The 20,492-nt window shown below is 59.4% G+C and overlaps 1 protein-coding gene and 1 long non-coding RNA gene across 4 annotated transcripts in view; one reads left to right on the top strand and one right to left on the bottom strand.

Annotated features, from left to right (window-relative positions):
* The window catches only part of LOC101448202 (uncharacterized), a 53,204-nt gene extending 35,861 nt beyond the window's left edge, over positions 1 to 17,343 (top strand). Inside the window, exon 2 of the long non-coding RNA NR_103451.2 lies at positions 16,549 to 17,343. This is a non-coding gene — a long non-coding RNA (uncharacterized LOC101448202). The remainder of the gene's footprint in view (positions 1 to 16,548) is intronic.
* Positions 1 to 20,492, bottom strand: part of COL5A1 (collagen type V alpha 1 chain) — a 203,041-nt gene that overhangs the window by 8,086 nt on the left and 174,463 nt on the right. Inside the window, exons 53-65 of one of the 3 annotated variants that reach the window (NM_000093.5) lie at positions 19,679 to 19,732; positions 18,927 to 18,980; positions 17,995 to 18,102; positions 17,857 to 17,910; positions 17,705 to 17,758; positions 16,535 to 16,642; positions 14,608 to 14,661; positions 13,725 to 13,760; positions 13,289 to 13,342; positions 11,903 to 12,158; positions 10,854 to 10,966; positions 6,714 to 6,782; positions 1,554 to 1,787 (exon numbers count right to left, since the gene is read on the bottom strand). In NM_000093.5, the coding sequence (NP_000084.3) occupies positions 1,554 to 1,787; positions 6,714 to 6,782; positions 10,854 to 10,966; positions 11,903 to 12,158; positions 13,289 to 13,342; positions 13,725 to 13,760; positions 14,608 to 14,661; positions 16,535 to 16,642; positions 17,705 to 17,758; positions 17,857 to 17,910; positions 17,995 to 18,102; positions 18,927 to 18,980; positions 19,679 to 19,732 (1,248 nt within the window). Of the gene's footprint in view, positions 1 to 1,553; positions 1,788 to 1,810; positions 4,017 to 6,581; positions 6,651 to 6,713; positions 6,783 to 10,853; positions 10,967 to 11,902; positions 12,159 to 13,288; positions 13,343 to 13,724; positions 13,761 to 14,607; positions 14,662 to 16,534; positions 16,643 to 17,704; positions 17,759 to 17,856; positions 17,911 to 17,994; positions 18,103 to 18,926; positions 18,981 to 19,678; positions 19,733 to 20,492 lie in introns of those variants that run through there. The other 2 variants (NM_001278074.1, XM_017014266.3) reach the window with 2 other exon arrangements.

Here is a 20,492-nt window from a genome sequence, read left to right as displayed (position 1 = left end):
TTGGGCAGCAGAGAAAAGGAGCTGAGCGTCCTATGGGTGAGGGCCAGGTGCTCCGCAGCGATGCTGGGCAGGGGGAGGCGGGATTGGAACCCAGGTCCACTCTGCTCCCAGGGCTACAGACAGGCCTTGCACTCTCAGTCGGCACCACCCTCTGGCTTTCCTGCCTGCCCAGGCCTCACACTGAGGACCCATCCGTGTTGCTCAGAAGAGGGCACCCTGCAGGGCCGGCCCTAACGCCGGCCCCGTTCCCCTCAGGAGCTGGCCTGGGCCGGTGCCATGGCTTGGACCTTCATCCCTTCCAAATCTCAGGTTGAAATGTGGTCCCAGTGTTGGAGGTGGGCCTGGTGGGAGGCGTCTGGGTCACGGGGCTTGGTGCTGCCCTCGGGGTAATGAGTGAGTTCTCACTCTACTAGTTCCCATGAGAGCTGATTGTTAAAAAGGGCCTGGCACCCCCTCGCTTCCTCTCTCCTGTGCATTCCACACACTGGCCCCTTCACCTTCCCAAGACTGGAAGCAGCCTGGGGCCATCACTGGACGCAGATGCTGGCACCACACAACGATTCCTGGACAGCCTGCAGAGCTGGGAGCGGAGTAAACCGCTTCCCGTTTACCCGGCCTCAGGCGTGCCTTTCTACAAACACTAAAGGAGCGAGGCGCTAAGGGCTGCTTTCCGCAGGTCTCTCAAGAATAAGTGGTGGAGAGAACAGGCTCCAATGTCAGTGACAGGAAGACCCACAGGCTGGAATTCTCAGCGATTCCCACCTCCAGCCTCTAAAAGGCCACACGAGGGGGACATGTCTGAGGCTCCCGCAGGCCTGGGCTCTTGGGGCACAGCTGCACCCTAAACACCTCCAGGACACGCGGGCACATCCCAGACCTGTGCGATGGCCCTGGCAGTCTCAAGGGGACCTTAGCGGAGGTGAGCCCAGCTCACTGAGTAGGGAGGGGAAAGGCGTGCATGTGGGAAGGCCCATGGGTATGAGCGCCAATACCAGCCCTGACTGCCCGTGAGGTCTCAGCAAGCCTCCCGCCGCTCCGGCCTCCATTCCCTTGTCTGGGACCAGAACAGCTCTCCCCACATGGAGAGGGCCCATGGGCCGGGCTGTCCGGAGAGCTGGCAACTGTCTGCAGTGTTTCCAGACGGCCGTGCTCTCGGGAACAGGCCCAGCTTAGTTCTGGCCACTCCCAGAAGAGCCCTGTCCAAGGAGAGGGAGGCTCCCAGCTCCAAACTGGAACCACAACGGGTCCTCCATTCCTCACTCCACGCCACAGCCCTGGATGGGGCGAGGGACCCACGCCCCTGGCTTTTCCGGCCAGGTCTCAGATTTCCCATCCTAACCCACAGAACTCTCCCAAGTTCCCGGAGCTCCAGCTGCATAGGCCTGGGATTCCTAGTCTCCCTGCAACTGTGGGGCTGCCTGGGGCGAGAGTCTGGTCCGGGGCCCTCACTGCCCTCTGGCAGGCATCTTGGGGACAGGTAAACCCGTGCTGAGTGAGGAGCGAGCCCCACGGAGGCGTGAGCAGGGGTGCTGGGCGCGGCGCGGGATACTCACAGCACAGCCGTCCACCAGGGCGCGGATGTAGGGGTTGTTGTCATAGGACATCTCCTCGTCGTTGGAGCCCAGGAAGCGGAGGGCCTTGTCGTAGCTGCCCGTGGCTGCGTCCTGCCAGGCCACTGACTGGTAGCAGTGGTAGGTGACGTTCTGGTGGGCAGAGGCGCTCAGCAGCCGCAGGAAGGTCATCTGTACCACACCCACAGGGTTGCCCTCGGCGTCCACATAGGAGAGCTGGGGGGACAGGGGTGTTGGGGCTCAGCAGGGTGGGGACACACACAGCAACAAAGCCCCACGTCCGCACTGCCCTGGGCTTCACTCACACTGTGGTCTTCTCGGGGGAACTACCTGGAAACGCACTGTACCCACAGACCCGGCCGAGGCCAGCGCACATGGGCTCTCTTGCGTGTTCCCAGGAACAAAGGGAACCATGCCTCATGTCCTTCAGGGCCTTAAATAATCCACCCACTTCTCTTGGCTTATGCTTATCCTTCAGGGCTCGGCACCTGTGCTGCCTCCTCCAGGAAGCCTACCCAGAATAGATGCTCCTGCACCTACTCTGTGGCTGCCCTCCCCAACCTTAGTTTGTCACAGTGTCTGTCTTCCCTAGCAGACTATAAGTTCAGAGAGGGCAGGATGGCATCCTTCTTGCTCGTTACTGGCCGTGGTACCCGCCCCATGGCTGCCCAGTGTGCGCTTGATAAAGCTTTGCTGCATGGTGAACGGCAGCCAGTGTCTCCTGGGCCAGCACCCACTGCAGTGCCAGCTGCAGCTGCTCTCCCTGCACGTCCACCCACAGTTCTTCTCCCCTTCTGCCACCTGGGTGCCTCCATCCCAGATGGTGATCTGGGTCTGCCAGGTTTGTATGTGTTGAGTGAACAGAGAACCATTCTCAAAAATATGGCTTGCATGAAGACCTGCCTCTCATTCCTGAAACGCAGAGCTCTGCACCCGATCGCTGGGTCGGGGCACCTGGAGCAGCAGGCGAGCCCTGGTTTCCCCTGAGTAGAGGGGTGCAGGGCCAGAGAGGGGCATTAGGTTCCCTGGGGGTGAGAGGAGGAGGTCTTAGAGCCCCCTCCCAGCTGCACCACACTTCTCCCTGAGCCCTGGACAGCAGGTGTCCTCCTTCTGCCCCTGAGCCACTGCACGGCTCCTCCCTCGGCCTGGGACACTCCCCACCTGGCAGGAGGTGCCCCCACTGCTGTCCTTTGGGTCACAGCCTAGACCACTGCTCCTAGGGAAGGCTCCTCCCCACCTCCAGCCTCTAGGGCTGGCTTAGGGACCCTGATCTGTATCCCAGCCCTCCCGATGTCCCTCCACTCCAGCTCTGGCCCCCTGTCCCTATCATCATGCTCCAACACCAGCAAAGGAAGGTGCTCACAAGATTATGTGAACAAACGACCATCTGCTGGGTGCCCAGGATGTACAAGGCCCTGGCCAGGGAGACTGTGAGCAGCTGGAGCCACGGGGCACGAGGCCTCGGGGAGTGAGCGGGCCAGCTGTAGTGAGGTGCTCAGGGGAGGCGAGCCTGAGGGAGGGTCAGGGCTGTGCAGATGGCTGGGGTGACCGGGGATCCTCCTGGAGGCACAGGGGTCCCGGATGATGTCTGGCATGGCCACTCAAGAAAGACCACTCCTCCCCTTCCCAGAAGCGTCTCCTCAGGGCAGTGAGCAGGCTTCCTGAGACAGGAGTGGCTCCATCTGCCTGCCCTGCCTGTGCCAAAGGTCAGCCCGGGACTCTGATGACACTGATCCTCCCTGAAAGCCCTCCCAGTCTCTGCACAAATCCAGGGAAGGCATCAGAGGACAATGTGCAGCTTCTTAGGTGGCCTCTCCAGCATCACTAGCTGGGTATCCAGGACTGGGCTGCTCAGCTCCACCAGGTGCAAGGCCCGTGCAGGGCATCCTGAGCCATGATGCATCTCACTTTTGCATCTCTGTTGCCAACTCAAGGTTTCTGAAAAACCTGACACTTCCAGGGGACATCGATGCATCTTAGCTCCCCGAAATGAAGCACACATCTCTCCTGGCCTAGGCAGGACCTTGAAGGACCCTCTCTGCAGGGAAGGCCTGGCTGGGCAGGGCAGCCTGTCCTGTTTGCAGCATCAGGGAATGAAGCAGGCTAAAGCCAGCACCTGAGACCTGCTCTGCCCACTCCTATGCAACCGCTGCCTCGTGGTGGTGTGTTTTGGACCCTGCCTCTGGCCTGCTCCGAAAGAGCCCCATTGAACAGAGGAAGGGAACTGACTTCAGTATTGCCAAGAGTGTTTGGGCACCGGGAGTGGGAAGAGGGTGAACACACTGCAGGACCCACTTTTTCAACAGATGCCACTAGAAAAAGCCCAAAGTGAGCAGCTGGCCTGGGGCCTGGGCCTTCCCAGGGGCGAGGGAACACGCTGCAGTCCCAGGGCTATCGGCGAACTCCACGCTTTCAGACGCAGCCACGAGAACCTTACGGGCAAACCTTGAGGAGGAAAAGTGAATACCAACCGACAGGCTGGGCCGTCCGGCGCTCCTTCTGGGAGGGAACGTGACTGACTCGAGGAAGAGTGTGCACCACAGGGAGCGGCGGTGGGCAGCACCGGACACAGAAGGACCTGAAGCCCCCAGTGCCCATGGGGCAGCAGGGGGGCCCGGGGCATGGGGCACGCTGCCCTGCATTGGAACCCCAGGGTCCCACAGTGAGGCCCTGCTCTCCTGGTGGGAGGGATTCTCTGCAGTATTCTCTCAGTATGGTGCAGTGTGGGTAGCCCTGCCCAGATAAAATTCCCATTTCTGGTTTTTTCTTTCTTTTTTTTTGGAGACGGAGTCTCACCCTGTCCCCCAGGATGGAGTGCAGTGGCGCGATCTCAGCTCACTGCAACCTCTGCCTCCTGGGTTCAAGAGATTCTCCTGCCTCAGCCTCCCGAGTAGCTGGAATTACAGGTGCACACCACTATGCCCAGCTAATTTTTGTATTTTTAGTAGAGATGGGGTTTTGCCACGTTGGCCAGGCTGGTCTTAAACTCCTGACCTCAGGTGATCCATCCGCCTCAGCCTCCCAAAGTGCTGGGATTACAGGTGTGAGCCAACCTGCCCAGCCCATTTTTGCATTTTGTTTTTTAATAGAGATGGAGTCTTGGTATGTTGCCCAGGCTGGTCTCAAACTCCTGGGCTCAAGCAATCTGCCCGCCTGAGCCTCCCAAAGTGCTGGGATTATAAGCATGAGCCCCTGCACCTGGCTGAAAAATCTGGGTATCTTTGAGAGGCCCCCATCTACCTCTTGTCCACGTATGATATTCACAGAGCTAGAAATAAGGCCGTGGAAAGATCCTAAAGTAAGCTGATGTGTTCCCTGGGTCGTCCCTTCACCCCAACCTTCATTAACTCTCTGTGGAACAGGACGAGAGGTGGAAATGGGCTACTCGGGCTGAAGGCTGCAAATGAGGTTTCACAGCCATTTCCTCCAAGCGAGGAAAATAGGCTCTTTCTGCTTTTCCCATTTTGGAGGATGCTGTGAGAGGCTCTTTTTGGAGGCTGAGAGCTGTCATTGCGGGGAGAGGGCAGTGCCAAGCGCAGGCGGTAACTACCCGCAAGACTGCAGAATGGACCCTGCCACCTCGGCCCCCAGCAGCTTCACCCCCAGGGCCCCTTCCTTGCCTGATCCCACACATCAGCATCCCCTACGCTCTGTCCCTCCGGGCCAAGCAGCCCTGGTCCCGGGCCCTCCCTGTCCCCGGGTGTTTCAGGTCCTTCTGTATGCCAGCAGCTCTTTTTGGAACACAGCACAGAGGAGGCGGGGAAAAGGAAAAGCAGGAGAGGAAAGGAGGAGAGGACTGCAAGTCCACGGCAAACCACAAAACGGGAAGCCTCCAGAAACACAGCCACGGTGAGCACAGACCCTCGGAGTGTCTGCAAAGGAGCTGGTATATGATTTCAAACCAACAACAATGAGGGCACGAGAGATGAATAATCAGCTGTGAATGCCTTCAGGTTATGAGACGAGGGGCTTCAGAGGTGCAGACAGGGCAAAGGCGGCTCAGGGCCAGTGCTCTGTGTCCACCCAGGGAGGCTGGGGCTGGTGCCAGGGTGCAGCAACCCATGGCAAGTGGTCAGGCTACAAGCCGCAGAACCCACGGGCTGCCTTCTGAGAGCAAGGCCCTCCTTTGAGGACCACCTGGGAGTGGGGCCACTGGATCCCAAGAAGGGAGGGAAAGGAGAATCTGGGCCATAAATGACACCCGGAACCCGTCTTGTGTTCTGGAACCTTGGTCCTTTAACTTGCTGGGAGAAAAGACAGAACTCTGCTCTTCATTCCAGGAGAGGGCCCAAATCAAACTCCGGTGGGGTTCCTAGGGGCACTCCACGCGGCAGAAGCAGCCGCTGTCCTCACATCAATGTGTCCAAACTGGCTCTTGGGCACTACACCGGCCAGAAGAACCTCCTATGTGGTTCTTTCCTGGGAGGCCAATGTCGTTTCCTTTCAGGGATGGATTCTGTAAGACTCGATCCCCAAAAGTGAAAACGTGACTCGTACAGTGGTGTGCAGTGTAACTGGGAATCTGCAGCCCGGTGGGCAGAGAGACAGCCCTCAGCCCTGAGCAGCTGGGGAGAGGGGATCCGTGGTGCAGGTCCTAGAAGGAGCTCTGAATGGCTTAAGTGGTCTGGGATCTGTGTCCTCTGCCCTGCCATCAGACACAGTGAAAGCGCTCCTGCTTCTGGAGCGTCTGACCTCAGTGCTCAGGTGCCTGGGGCTGCACCGTCTGTGGGCAGAGGATCAGCTCAGGCTGGGGCCCACACCCAGCTCTGCGCGCCCTACACAGAAACGGAAAACCATCTGCCTACTCCAGGCAGAAACACACTCTTGTCAGGGTGGCGGGGGCTGGGGAGAGGACTCCACACCTAGCTGAGTCTTGCTGTCACGTGATGTGGAGCGGTTTGGCAAGAGCGGTGTGGCACACATGGCAGCGATGGGTGCCATGCAGAGCCGCGAGCCAGCCGTGCCGCAAGCAGGCAGTGCCGAGGTGGCCGGGCCGAGGTGGCCACTTACCAGGGACCCCCGCTTGTACTGACTATACCAGGTGGAAGGCTGCTCTTTGGGCCAGCGGGCCATTTTACTCTGTAAGATACGAGATGGGCGGGTTTAAAGTGACAACCGCAAAGACGCCAGAGGCCACCTTACCAGTTTCCCACGCTTGAATTCACTGAACCAGGAGCCCGGGTTTTCTTTGGGCCAAGAAGTGATTCTGGCCTAAACATGCAGCGGGGAGGTGGGGAGGGAGAGAAACAGAACAAAAGGGTTACTTCTCCGGCCTCCAGAGCAAGGCCCCAGGCTTTCCCGGCCCCCGCGCCTGCATCCTCACGCCGGGGGGGCTGCAGGGAGGACCCACCGAGCGCCTTCAGTGCAGCCTGAGGGCCCCGGCCCTTGTGGGGAGACTGGAGGTCACAGGAGAATGAGCCCGGCCCAGGTCCTTGGGGGGATGAGCCTGGCCTGGGCCTTGAGGGAGACTAGAGGCCACGTGAGGAGCCGGGCCCCAGCCCTTGGGGAGACTGAAGGCCATGTGAGGATGAGCCTGGCCGGGGCCCTCGGGGAGACTGGAGGCCGCGTGAGGATGAGCCTGGCCCCGGCCCTTAGGGAGGCCACGTGAGGAGCCCGGCCTGGGCCCTCGGGGAGACCGGAGGCTGCGTGAGGAGGAGCCTGGCCCCAGCCCTCGGGGAGACTGGAGGCTGCGTGAGGAGCCCGGCCTGGGCCCTCGGGGAGACCGGAGGCCGCGTGAGGATGAGCCTGGCCCCAGCCCTCAGGGAGACCGGAGGCTGCGTGAGGAGCCTGACCTGGGCCCTCGGGGAGACCGGAGGCCGCGTGAGGATGAGCCTGGCCCCAGCCCTCGGGGAGACTGGAGGCCGTGTGAGGAGCCTGGCCCCAGCCCTCGGAGAGACTGGAGGCCATGTGAGGAGCCTGGCCCCAGCCCTCCAGCCCCTGCTGCTGCCCAGGAAGGGTGCGCTCTGCCTCTCGTTTTGCATGTTAGGCCCCAGGCCAGCGCCTGGTGCTCAGTCACTGCTGGAAACGCTCACTGAGGGAGGGAATGAACGAATGAATGAATGAATGATGGACCAAGGGAATGGTAATAAAAGCCAGCATTTACTGCAGGCGAGGGGTGGGGCATCCTCATCCCATCCTCACAGCCTTGCCTGGCTGCTGCGGCACCAGACTGTGTGCGTGTGTGTGTGCGCGTGCATGGTGTGGGGGGTATGTCTGTGTGAAGGGTATGGTGTGTGGTACGCATCTGTGTGTGTGATGAGTGGTGTGTATCTGTGTATGCTGTGTGTGTGGTATAATGTGTGGTCTGTGTGTGATGTGTGGTGTGTGTGTAGTGTGTTATGGGTGTATCTGTGTGATGTGTGGTGTGTGTGTGTGGTATCTGTGTGTAATGTCTGTGTATGGTGTGTATCTGTGATGTGTGGTATGTATCATGTGCGTGGTGTGTGGTATCTGTGTGTCTGATGTGTGGTGCGTATCTATGTGTGGTATGTGGTATGTGTGGTGTGTATGGCGCATTATGGGTGTGTGTGTGGTATGTGTGGTGTTTATCGTGTGTGTGGTATGTGTGTGGTGTATGGTGTGTATCTGTGTGATGTGTGGTGTGGTATATGTGGTGTGTATTGTGTGTGTGGTGCGTATCTCTGTGGTGTGTGGTATGTGTATCGTGTATCTGTGTGGTATGTGTGGTGTGTGGCCTGTATCTGTGCGTGTGGTGTGTAGTGTGCATCTGCGTGTGTGTGTGTGTGTGTGGTAGAACCTTCCTGGGGACTGAGACGTGTGCGGGTGAGGGCTGCTCCTCGGCTGCCTGCCTGGATCATGTGCAGCCAGCTCACGCTGCCATGGGGCACTACTTGTGCCCGCTTCCTGGGAGGGCTCCCACCTGAGGCCTGCTTTCCACAGAGGCCGAGGCTGCAGACACACAGGCTGGGCCCAGCAGGGCAGGCCTCAGTGACGCCACGGATGGATGGGTGGGTGAGCAGCCATTCCTCTGAGGGGAGACCTGCACGCTGGGTCCCAAAAACAGGACAAGGGGAGCCCCGGCTGCCTGAGGGTGCACTTGCTGCAGGCGTGGAGTGGAAGGGCCCCCAGGGCCGGCCTGTCCCCAGCCTGGACTGACTGGGGCTCACGTTGTGCGCCATGAGGACACAGAAGACTGATCCCTGGCTGATCCCCCCAGCCTTCTTCTTGAGCTGGCCTTGTGCCAAGAAGGCCAGAAAAGGGGATCCCCTGGAGGAAAGGGGTGTCCCATCTGCCTCTCACGCCACCCAGAGCTCTCCCACCCTCTCTCGTTTCCAAATCTGCCACTGTCAATGCCAAGCCCAGGCGGCGTGAAGGCAGCTTCTTCCTGGAAGAGTCCCGGGATGTGGGCAAGCGCGGGCTCCCCCAGCCTCTGCTGTGAGCCTCCTCCGGGTCCAAGGGGGCCACCTCGGAAAGCGTCTCCACTTGCCCTTGGCCAAGCAGCTGTAGCCCAGGCCCGAGGCTGCAGCCTGTGGACGCCTGGCTGGTCAACACTGGGGGAGCCTGGGGTCGCTCAGCAGCCCCACGCTGCTGTGCCGTGAACACCAGCCGCGGCTTCCCAGGAAACCTCTGAGTTTGGAGGAGTCTGGCCCGTGATTTCCACAGCGGCAAGGCCACCCATTTGCAGAGGCAGGCCGCGAAGGAGGGCCGAGAAACCTCTTTTCTAAGGGAATTCCACGCGGGGCCTCTGGCCAGACTGAGGGAAACGAGAGCCGAGATGGAAGGCCCCCGTGTTTGGATTCTCTCTGAACAGGGTTTGTCACTAGGAAGGCAGGTTCTCAAGGAGTTAAAACTTCAGGTGGGGGAGGGGACCCCTGCACTTGGAGCCCCACAGATCTCCAGCCATGTGCAGCCTCCACTGCAGCCAGTGGGCTCCTAACCCAAAGTGGCTACTGAGCTCAGCACGGTCAGGGCGTGATTGAGGGGTAAGGGGATGGCGGTCCCTGGGGAGAACGTAGCTGCTCTTCCCCTGGCAGGAAACTGCTTCTGGGGCACTGAGGTTGTTAGGAAGCAGAGGCTGCAGGGGCGCACAGGTCTGGACCTGCACAGCAAACCGCTGCGGCCCCAGAAATGGGCGGCCTTTGCCTGGGGCCACGCGACAACTGCGAGCTCATGAAGGAGAGGCCGTTCAAGCTGATGCAGGGGCACGAGAGCTGCAGGCTTGGTCACCTTCCAGGAGCAACAGGGAGACTCAGTCCTCGCCTGGGCCAAGGCTGGACCTGCCTCAGGTGCATGCTTGAGGGATAGCAACACACGCCCGTCTACATGCATGCACATGCCAGCCACATGCACCCACATACACCAGCCACACACACCCACACACCATATACACATCCACACACCAGCCACACACCCACACACCTGCACCAGCCACAAGTACCCAAACACCATCTACACACCCACACACCAGCCACACACACCCGAACACCATGTACACACCCACACACCACCCACACACCCCCACATACCAGCCACACGCACCCATCCACCACCCATACACACACCCATCCACCAGCCACATGCACCCACACATCATCCACATGCCATCTACACACACACCATCCACATACACCCCAACTACAAAACCACACAGCATCTACACACACACACACACCATTCACACACCCATCCACACACTCATCCACATGTGCCCACACACCATCCACATGCACACAAACTCCTGCTACAGCGCTGAGGCCTCCGAAAGGCCACAGAGGTGGGTATTTAAGTGACATGCCACAAAATCTCAACAGAGCCCAGCTCCCCACCCCGAATTCTTCACTAAACAGACTTCAAAACAAAGCACTCAGGAGGGACCAGGGCCAACCCACAGAAACAGGCTGGATAATAAGAATTGAGGCAAAGGGCAGCTTCCGGAAGATGTCTCAGGCTCACGTTATTGTACCTGCTCCCAATTCCTTTAAAGGGTTTTAATGGGGGTCTCAGGTCAGTGGGACCACTGAGTCACCGGAGAAAAGCTTTTATCAACCAGTGAGTGAAGTCCCAGCCCTGGGACGGCAGGATGCCAGGTGGAAAGCCCTCCAACCCTTCCTGACCCCGGGCTGCACAAACCTATTTTATTACTAAAAAATTTCTTAAAACAATTTCAGGTCTACTTCTGAAAGAACAGTTTCACTGATGAAACGGATTCATTTCTGGCTTTCAGTCTTAAAGCTGCATATACAAGAAATGCTTGAAGCCCTCGGCATGGCCCTGTCTGTGACGCCTGCCCCGCTGGGGCCATGGAGGGACACAGCTACTCACCCCTTCGGACTTCTTGTCAGGGAAGACGCATGTCGACCCCCCGGCTGTGAAGTTGCAGTAAACCTTGAAGGAATCCCTGGAGCATCCTTGGTTAGGATCGACCCAGTATTCACCTGGATTTCAGAGACGGGGAGGGAGGCAGGCAGAGTCAGAAGGATTGCTCCCTGGATGGTTCCGGAAGCCGCTGTGACATTTCAGTCCAGCAGTTAAAATGCACGCCCCAGGAATGCCGCCAACACGGGCCTTTCTGGGGTTTACTTTATTGCATTTTGCTTCTCCTGCTGGGCCCATAAAGAGATGTGGACAAACTCATTCACCAAGAACACAGCTGGTGCATGAAGCAACTGGGTACGTGTTCTGGTGGCCAGGAGGGTTGGGGTCCGGCCTACTCTCTGGGTGGACAGAAATGCAGAGAGGGTTCTGGAAGGAACTCTGGAAATTCATGCATGTAGGATCAGAGTCTACTGGAACCATGAACATCCCTCGAATCTTGCAGGGGGAACATTCAAACTTCCCAGGGGGAAGAAAAGCTAATGGGAATTTATCCTTCAATTGGTGCCTGAGGCTATGATGGTGAGGAGAAGGATGTGTTTTTACAGTATCGCGGAGTTTGAAGGCCGTTTGCCCAAGCACAGCGTCTGCTGCCGGTCCTAACACTGACCCTTACTTCCACTGGCACTGTGCCAGCCTCTCAGGCACTGCCTCACGCAACTCTGTCCTCTTCCTGGGAGATGTTTCTGTTCCCATTTGACAGGTCAGGAACACGAGGTTCAAGCAGGTCACCCCGCCAGAAAATGCCTAAGACCAGATGAGAACCTGGAGAGTCTGACCTCAAAGCCTTGGCCTCTGCACCCGGCCTCACCCTGAGATGCCTCCATAAAGTTCAAGAGGGGAGGCTCTTGCGCACCCCGGCCCCACAGATGGGGAGGCTGCGGCTGCCCGTCCTGTCCCTTCCGCTGTGCCTGGCTGAACTGTCCTTGCCACACTCCATGTGTCCTGCAGGTCCATGCCCGCTTTGGGGGGCCACCCCTGCCCCCCCAGGCCCTCACCATCTGGGAAGTCGGGGTGGCAGAGCTGCAGGTCCTTGCAGGTGCGGGCGGGGTTCTGCTGCGTGCCCAGGGGCCGTTTCATCTGCTCAATCTCCAGCTTCAGAGAGTTGAGAGAGCCGAAGATCTCTTCCATGCCGTCCGCGTAGTCCACGTAGTTCTCGCCATTCCCGTCGTCCAGCAGCTGGCTGGCGTCGATGTTCCGCCGCGTCCTGGATGCCTGGATTGGCAGGGGCTGGATGACCTCTCCCGGGGGGCCCTGGGGGACAGAACAGGAGCAGCGGTGGGTGATGGAGGATGGGAAGGGTCCCAGGATATGAGCAGAGCAGGGACAGCTGGGGCCACATCTGCAGGGGTTCCCTGGGGCCTGGCAACCTGGGCTACATGGACATCTGTCCGCCTTAGAACTGTTTCCATCCCTTCCTCCAGTCTCTGGAACATTCCACACCCATCCCCACTGCCAGGTGCTTGCCAGCATGGAGCACCTCTCCTTTCTCTCTAGAGCTGAAACTTAACAGTTTGCAGCCTTGGGCTTGCATCTGCCATCCTGCCCTCAGCCACACAAAAGGCCAAGCCTTGAGGAAAGGGACCAGGTCTCCCCAGTCTGGCCTCTGCAGCCCTAGCTGGGGCTGAACACAGTGGGGCCACATGAATGCCTCCTGATGCAAAGAGCCATTCACTTCCAGAAGGCCACAGCTAAGATGACGATGGGAGTTGGAGAGACTCCACAACCAAAGGGGGGTGTCCAATAGTGCACTCGCCATGCCCTGGTTCAAACTGGGCTTCACCTTTCACCTCCAGGGCCTTGTCTAGTGCTCCCCCATCCCAACACACACACACACATGCACATATATCCCAGACATGCATGTACACATATACATATGCACACACACACGGCCATGCATGCACGTATACAATATACACACACTACACATGCACACACATATGTGCCCCACATATATGCATGCATACCCATACACACATCATGCACACACACATGCACATACAAACCATGTACACACACATTACACATGCATGCACATATACAGGATGCACGTACACATACAGACATGCACACACACGTGCCCAGTCACATACACGCATATACTACACGTTCACACATTCATATACCATGCATGCACACACAGCACACACGTGTATCCTCTCTCTCCTGGCCAGCTGTTCTTCTCAGGGCCAATTGGCCTGTAAGCTTCCTGTGATAGACCTGTGTGGCTCATTTCCCCGGCTGCGTGCGAGGGACAAGGCCCGGGCATGCCACATGGGCTTCATGAGTCTCAGGAGGGGTCACACACACACAGTTGCTTTCTCAATTCCCTCGGAGCTAGCCAGAGCCCCCGTCCCGCTTTCTGGGCTTCAAGGGCTACTTACCGGGGGGCCTGGGGGTCCTGGGTGGCCTGCCTCACCCTTCGGGCCAGTTGGACCCTGGGGAGAAAGAAAAGAATCAACCCTTGGTCACAGAGGTATGAGGGGACTTTGAATCCACCTTCAGCTCTAGAATGGTCCCTGGAGACCTATGTGGGGGAGGTGGCCCTATCAGCCACAGCAGAGAAGAGAATGGCAGAGACCCCTGTACCCTCCTGGATCCTTGAGATGAGAACAGAGAGGGATGGAGCCCTTCCTAGGGCAGGCGGCGAGCAGCCCACCTGCCTCAGTCCGCCATGGGTCAGTGTAGAAAGATGGGAGGATCGTGAGCAGCAGGGCCTGAGCTAGGACGGTTGTCTGGGTAGTTTGTTCCCGTGCCAGGGGACCCGTCGCCCTCCCCTACCTTCCAGGCATTGGCCTGGCTGGGCAGCATGTTACTTACCGAGGAGCCCTTAGCACCTTTTGGACCAGGCGGACCCTGCAGAGAGAGGAGGGCAGAACGTCAGCAAGCCGGGTCTCAGCTCCAGCCCCACCGTGCTCCATGTCCTGCCCAGCCTGGTCTCGCCCCTCGCCCCTCTCCCACCCGCATCCCCCTCAAGAGTCTATGCTTGTATTTGCCCGGCTAGAGTGGGAGGAGGGTCGGGGCCTGGCTGGTGCTCACCCCTCGTGGAGACACAGGGTGGTCCTACCTGCCCCCGGCCAGCCTACCACCCACCCTGGCTAGGAAACCCCAGCTCAGACAGCCGCGGGGGGGGCGCAGCGGAAAAGAGCATGTCCTGGCTCAGAAGGGGCTGATGGAATGCACCCCCCAGCCCTGATAGCACACAGCAGGGGCCAGCCCTCAGCGTGCCAGGGGCCCCCGGGGGCCATGTGTACCTGCAGCCCAGCGGCTGTGGGGATGCCCTGGGAATGCTGGGTCTCCCAGCAATGTGAGACCCAGGCAGCGGTGCCAGAGGAGGGCAGCTAACTGCTCTTGTCTGGGCCAGGCTGGCCGGGCTCCTGGGAATTGGGAGGGCTGGAGAGCCAACTACTACCTTCCGCACCCTCCCCAGATGCCTACAGACAAGTGGCCTCGTTCCCTGAAATGGCCACCGTTTCCTGTCCCTGTCTTCCCCACCAAAAACCATGGCCGGGCAACGCCACTTCCTTTCTTCTGTCTCCTGGAACCCCAATGTTGAGTTAATGGGCAAATCCACCCTGGAGGCCCCAATTCCAGCTTCTCGTGTGACTTTTCCACAATTCTCTAGCTCCACACTGAGGCCCCAAGGCTTATCCCCACCCTCCCTGCCCTCCCAGGAATGACCAAGCCCCTCCCAGATACACACCGGCAGGCCAGGGGGCCCAGGAGGCCCAATCGGGCCAGAAGGACCAGTGATACCCTGAAAAGGACCAGAAAATGCAGGTTATCACCTTCAGACGAGGAGGAGCTGCGGGGCTGCAACCCTGCTACCCAGCCACACCCCTCGGCTCCCCTGTCCCTTCCCCACGGTATGCCCTTTGGCCCCTCAGCAGCCTCCTGTGGCTGCTTTCTGATCCTGGGCTGTGCATGTCAGGGGAGCCATCGACCTGAGCATCCACCCCAAGGCTGCCAGCCCTCGGCACTGCTCCCCCGGCTGGGCTGCCAGGAACTCACTCTCATCCCCCAGGCCACCGAGGACTTCAGGCTGAGCACCTCTTTTCACGTTCATTTGGAAATACAGAAACCACTGCCCTGACATTGTGGCCCTGGCTTGGGCCCCTCTTGCTGTTTCCTGCTCATGGTGTTAGTCTCCCCTCTAGAACTAAGCCCGGAGGGGTTGGGCAGGGAGTCCCATCCATGCTGACTGTCCTGTCCTGCCTGTAAATGTGCTTTCTGCATCCTTGGAGCGTGGAACCTCCGCTCAGACCCCTTCTCCCCACTGACTCCCTCCCAGACTGAGCTGCTGGCACAGAACAGCTTTGACCAGCTTTGCCACGGGCAGCTGGAGCCACCTGCAGCCTCTCTCCCTACAGCCCTGGATTCCACTCAGAGCTCTCTCCGGGCAGAAGCTGGGGGCGAGGGTAGCGGAGGGCTGATGGCCGTATTTCACTGGGGAGGGAGCGCTTCCCTCCCTTCACCTTGTCCCTGCAGGAACTTGGGCTGTGGCTCATTGTAAGGACCCCACAACTACCCAAGCCTGCACACCAACCCGACACCTTCATCAGCAATGCCGCCAAGACCATGGTTTGGGGTGAGGGCAGGTGAGCAAACAGGGTGGACACAGGGGTGCTTTCCCCGCTGGCCGTGGGGACCCTGGATGCCTCTCTAATTCTCGTGGTTGCCGGGCCACCACACCCTGGGCGGCACTCCTCCGACGACCCTGCTGTGGCCTGGGGATACCGGCAGAGGAAAACAGTCAATGGCATGGAGGACACTGGCCAGTGAGGTAGGGTTTGCAATGAGCTCCACCCTTCAGCCATGTCCTGCAACCTTCCCCGGGCCCATAGTGAGGGTGCCACCTTACTCCCAGCCTCCAGGGGCTCTGCCTGCTCCTGCCCTGTCCCCCGCATCCTATGAGGCATGGGCGTGGGTGGGCACAGCATACTGTGCGTGTGTGTGTCCGTCACACCTTGCTCGGGACGGAAAGATTCCCACACAGGAATAAGGACCCGTGGCCCTCATGGGGGAAGGACAGAGGCACTACAGGTCACCTCATCCCCTCTCCTGCCTCCATGGCACACGTCACCCTCCCCAGGCCACTTCCAAGTCACTCAGAGTTGTGGGACAGAGTGAAGCTCTCTGCATGGCGTTTCCTTGGCTATGGTTTGCAGAGGCTGCAAACTCCAATGAGCTACAGTTTGGGGGCAGCTGGGGACAAGGTGGAAGCAGGAGCCAGAACAGCCACTCTGCCCGCAGCTCTGGCAAACACGGCTGGTTGTCACCAGTGACCTCCTGGGCAAGCGGTGGGTGACAGGCTCTCCCACAGGGCTGGGAACCAGGCAGAATGACCTGACTTCCGAGTCCCTCCAGCTCTGGGGGACACCACGGTCATGAGGAGGAAGCCCCGCCTGCCAGTCAGGGCATGGAGCTGGGAGACGGCTCTGCCCAGCTCACTGTGCACCTGGGCAAGCCCAGCCCGTCAGTGTTCCCATCTGCCAAGCAGGATGACCGGACTCAACCGACGTGTGGACGTCCTTCCGGGCTCTGATGGGCCTCCTGTCCCCTGGGTGCCTGCCCCAGGGATCTAAAATGCCTCTCGACAGCCCACATGCAAGAAGTGCCATCTCACGCACCTGTTCTCCCTTAGGACCGGAGGAGCCCTGGGGGCCAGGGAGACCACGGTCGCCCTTCTCACCCTGTTCACCCGGAGGACCGATGAGCCCGATCAGGCCTGGATGACCCTGTGGGAAAATGAAGACAGGAAGGGGCATTTGAGGGAGCCACGCCTCATGCTCGGCCACGGTGGGCCAGTTAGCACGCAGCACAGCCATGGCACAGGAAGCTTTACATCATGGTCAGCCTCCCCTGGAAGGGGAACAGGCTCAACAGAGGGGCCAGGTGACGAAACGGCAGGTCCGAGGTGGCCCTTCGCTGGCCACAGTCACGTCTAAAAACAGACAGGGAGCCACAGACACTGAGACAGACCAAAGTGATAAAGGGGTTTTCCTGAGTGGTAATGTTTATCTCTGTCTTTCTCTTCGTATACGCTCTCCAATTTCCTATGGCAAATCCGAACGCCTGCTCCTATACGGAACTAAAACAAAGTTTGTGGACTGACACGGAAAGAAAGATGCAGAGTATTATAGATATTACAATCATGGGTTGTTTTTCTAAAAAAAGAAGAATCCATGACACTCGCTGTCTATGTTTGTCTTCTAGGAACCCAGGGCAAGCCTCGCAAGGCAGCCCCAGCTCTCATTTGCCTTGGGGCTGGGGGCAGTGGTGGCGGACGTCAGAGTGGAAATGAGAGGGCCCTCACTGCCTTCTGCTTCATATACAACCATCTCACTCCTGAGTACCTTTTATGTTTGTAAATAAATCAATGCAAGTGGAAAACAATTCCCAGCAGTTAGAAAAATAAAAGGGCTTTGCTCCCACTGCAGAAATGTCCTCACACCTCCTGCGGAAAGGATCTGGGGCCGCTCAGCCCAGGGAGAGCAGCAACCTGGGATCCTGGACACCCATCAGCCGGGGCCTCTGTGCCTAGCTGGAAGGTTCTCCGTCAATACCGCAGGGGCCTCCGGGATCTCCCGAGCTGCTCAGGACCCCCCAGAGGCAGGGGCCAAGCCTCAAACACAGCGTGTCTATTTTCCTTTGTCACCCCTCAGGTTCCCCACCACCAGCCTGCAGCAGGTGCTTGACACATTTAGGTGACGGATCAAGAGCTTGTTGAGTTTGAGACCCACGGCCACAAATTTGAAGGCCCCGAGTCACAGTTGCTGGGGCAGGGAGGCCCCTCTTACCTTTTCACCTTTGGGACCAGAATCTCCTTTGAGGCCGGGAAGTCCTGGGGGACCCTGTGGGAGGAGGCAGGGGGATCAGAGTCCTCATCCTTGGGGCTTTGGGTGGCGAAGTCATCCCACCCGCTATGCTCACCATGAGGAATGTGACTCACCATGGGGCCGGGGGGACCGTCCGGGCCTGGGGATCCTGGGAGACCTTGTTCTCCCTGAAACACAGAGACGCTCTGCATGAGTTGCTGGTCCCCCGTCCCTCCACTCGGCAACCCCTCTGCCCCTCACAGCCTACTCACCACAGGGCCAGGGATCCCTCGAAGGCCATCCGGTCCGGGCTTCCCAGGGGCCCCCTGGGGGCCGATGGGGCCAGTCTTCCCAGGAGGGCCTTCCAAGCCGGCTTCTCCCTGCAGGACGGCGGAGGGCAGAATGAGGTCCGGAGCTCTAGGCTCCAGGCACCCTGGCCCAGGACCACTGCTCGGAAACCCTGGGCACCTCTGGAGGAGTCCCAGGTGACCCCATATCCGGGGTTGCCCTAATTCTCCACATTTCATTGCCTGTGGAAGCTGCCCTGGTCAAGTCTCCATCCCGATCATCTCCCAGGCCAGCAGGGATCCCGTCTCCGCTGACTGCGCCGACCACAGACCGGGTGTCACAGCGCCACTGCCCGAGCAGGGATGGAACCGCACAACCTCCCGTCTCCTTAACAACAGGCGCCTCCAGGAGGGAGGCAGACAGTGCCAGGCCGGGCCGCCATCACCTCACTGACAGAATAGCCTCCCGTGTGCTCTGGGCCAGGCCCCAAGCCAACTGCATGGGTGACGGCGTCCCATCTTCTGCACGGGCCCCGCAGCAGACACGGTCACCATCGGACACGGTCCACTTCAGAGGTAGGCGGCTCAGGTCTGGCCGACTCAAAGACCAGGCATGAGGTCGCAGGGCTCCGGGGGACATAACTACTCAGCCTTGGGCTCCCTGAATCCCGCACCCACCACCCGCCTCCTCCCTCAGGTGGGCAAGGCAGACGGCCCCAGTCTTGTGGCCACCACTTGGCTGCCTCCTTGAGAGAGAACCAGGTCTCCTCCCCAGGTAGGCCATGAGCCAGGTGCCCCTGGGGCAGCCACTCTCAGCCTCCATGGACATCTCTGCCCACACGCTTGTCCACTCCCCACCCTCTGGGCTCCCCTGGGGGAGGTCTACGCGGTCACAGCCTGGCTCCAAAACACGTTACCTTGGCCCCTTTCTCTCCCTGTCTGCCTTCGGGGCCTGCGGGGCCTGGGGGACCCTGAAAGAAGCAAGAGAACAGCAGGTGGTGAGTGTGGCCTGCAGGGGTGGAGGGACGAGCTCGGGTGCAGGCGCTCAGGGTGTGTGTGTGTGTGGCCTGCAGGGGCAGAGGGACGAGCTCGGGTGCAGGTGCTCAGGGTGTGCCGGGCTGCAGGGCAGGGGTGCAGGGTCATGGAGGCTGCTCCCGGGCCACCCGCAGTGACACGGGTCCTCAGCATGAGTCCTATGGACTCCAGTCCCAGGTAAAGGCCTCTCAGGCCACGTGGGGAGGCGCAGTGCACGCCGCGAGTTGTGTGTGGCCTCCGTCCTGGGTGCACCAGGCAGCTGTTTACTGCCCCACCAGCAAGTGGCTGGACCATTCAATCTGCAAAAGATGCCTTCTCATTTGTTCTGGCTTTTCAGTAAAACCTGAGCCAGGGGAAAAGGACCTTTGCAGCTTTGCGGGTGTCTTTCTCCCACCATGGATATCACTGACCGTGTCAGCAGGCGGCCTGTCCTAAAAGGAGCAGCTGCGTCGACCTGGCAAGCCTGTGATTAGGTGATGATGTGGCCGAGGCTAAGTGGAGAACATGCCACACCCGAGCCCTTCCTCATCAGTGCAGCTTAGAGCACCCAGGGCCCAAGCAAAGGTGACGGGGAGGGGCGGGGGTGTTTCATGCAGGGATTTGACAGCAAGGATGTGCCTGCAGGATTATTTACCCTTTTTCCTGGAGGCCCCGATGGACCTGGTTCACCAGTAGGGCCGGGGGATCCCTGGTATTGGGAGAAAGAACAGAGTGTGAGGAATTGGGGCCCGTTAGACTCAATTGAGGCAAAACACATGGCGATTTCAGTCTATTTACTCCTCGGCCAGCCCTGCGGCCGCCTCTCTCTTCTTTTGGGGCTAGCACAGAGGGTCCTAAGACAGTGTCGCACCCGGGCTGTGACAGCGTAAGGAACCCCAACTCCCATCCTGCGGGTTTTCTGCATTTTGGAAGAGAACTTCCCCACTCACAGTGCTGACTCTTGATACACAATGACGGTTCGGTCCCCACCACAACCTGGGCAGGGACGAGGCACTGGCATCCCCTTTCACAGAAGGGGGGACAAGAATCGTCCCAGGACACAGGCCGGGAAGTGGTGGACTGGGGGTGTCTGTCAGGGAAATCCAGCCCGAGGCTAGATCCCTAACCCCTTCTCTGAGTGGACGCTCCTCTCAACTCAGTGACATGGCCTTTGCCCTCAGGTCCGCAGTCCCCCGCGCTTGGCCAGGCTGGGTGCAAGGTGGGGCAAGGGCATCTGCAAGGCCTCAGGGGCCTCCTCCAGGCCCAGTCCTGCCCAGGGCCCATGGGGGTCGATCCGTCCCAGAAAGACGTTCTGGGCTTGAAGCGGTGTTTAAAACACTCAACGCCAAGCGTCAGATGCAACGTCCAGTGTGATCTCGGTCAAGGTAAGGCAGGAAGGGCCTGGTGAGGAGAGGCACTGGCCCTGCTAGGCAGAGCTGTGGGTAAGATCTGACGTTCCCGGGCGAGCC

The sequence above is a fragment of the Homo sapiens genome, chromosome 9 (assembly GCF_000001405.40).
Source record: "Homo sapiens chromosome 9, GRCh38.p14 Primary Assembly".
Lineage (NCBI taxonomy): Eukaryota > Metazoa > Chordata > Mammalia > Primates > Hominidae > Homo > Homo sapiens.
Note: the sequence above shows the minus strand (reverse complement) of the source record. Positions and strands in the feature narration are given on the sequence as shown.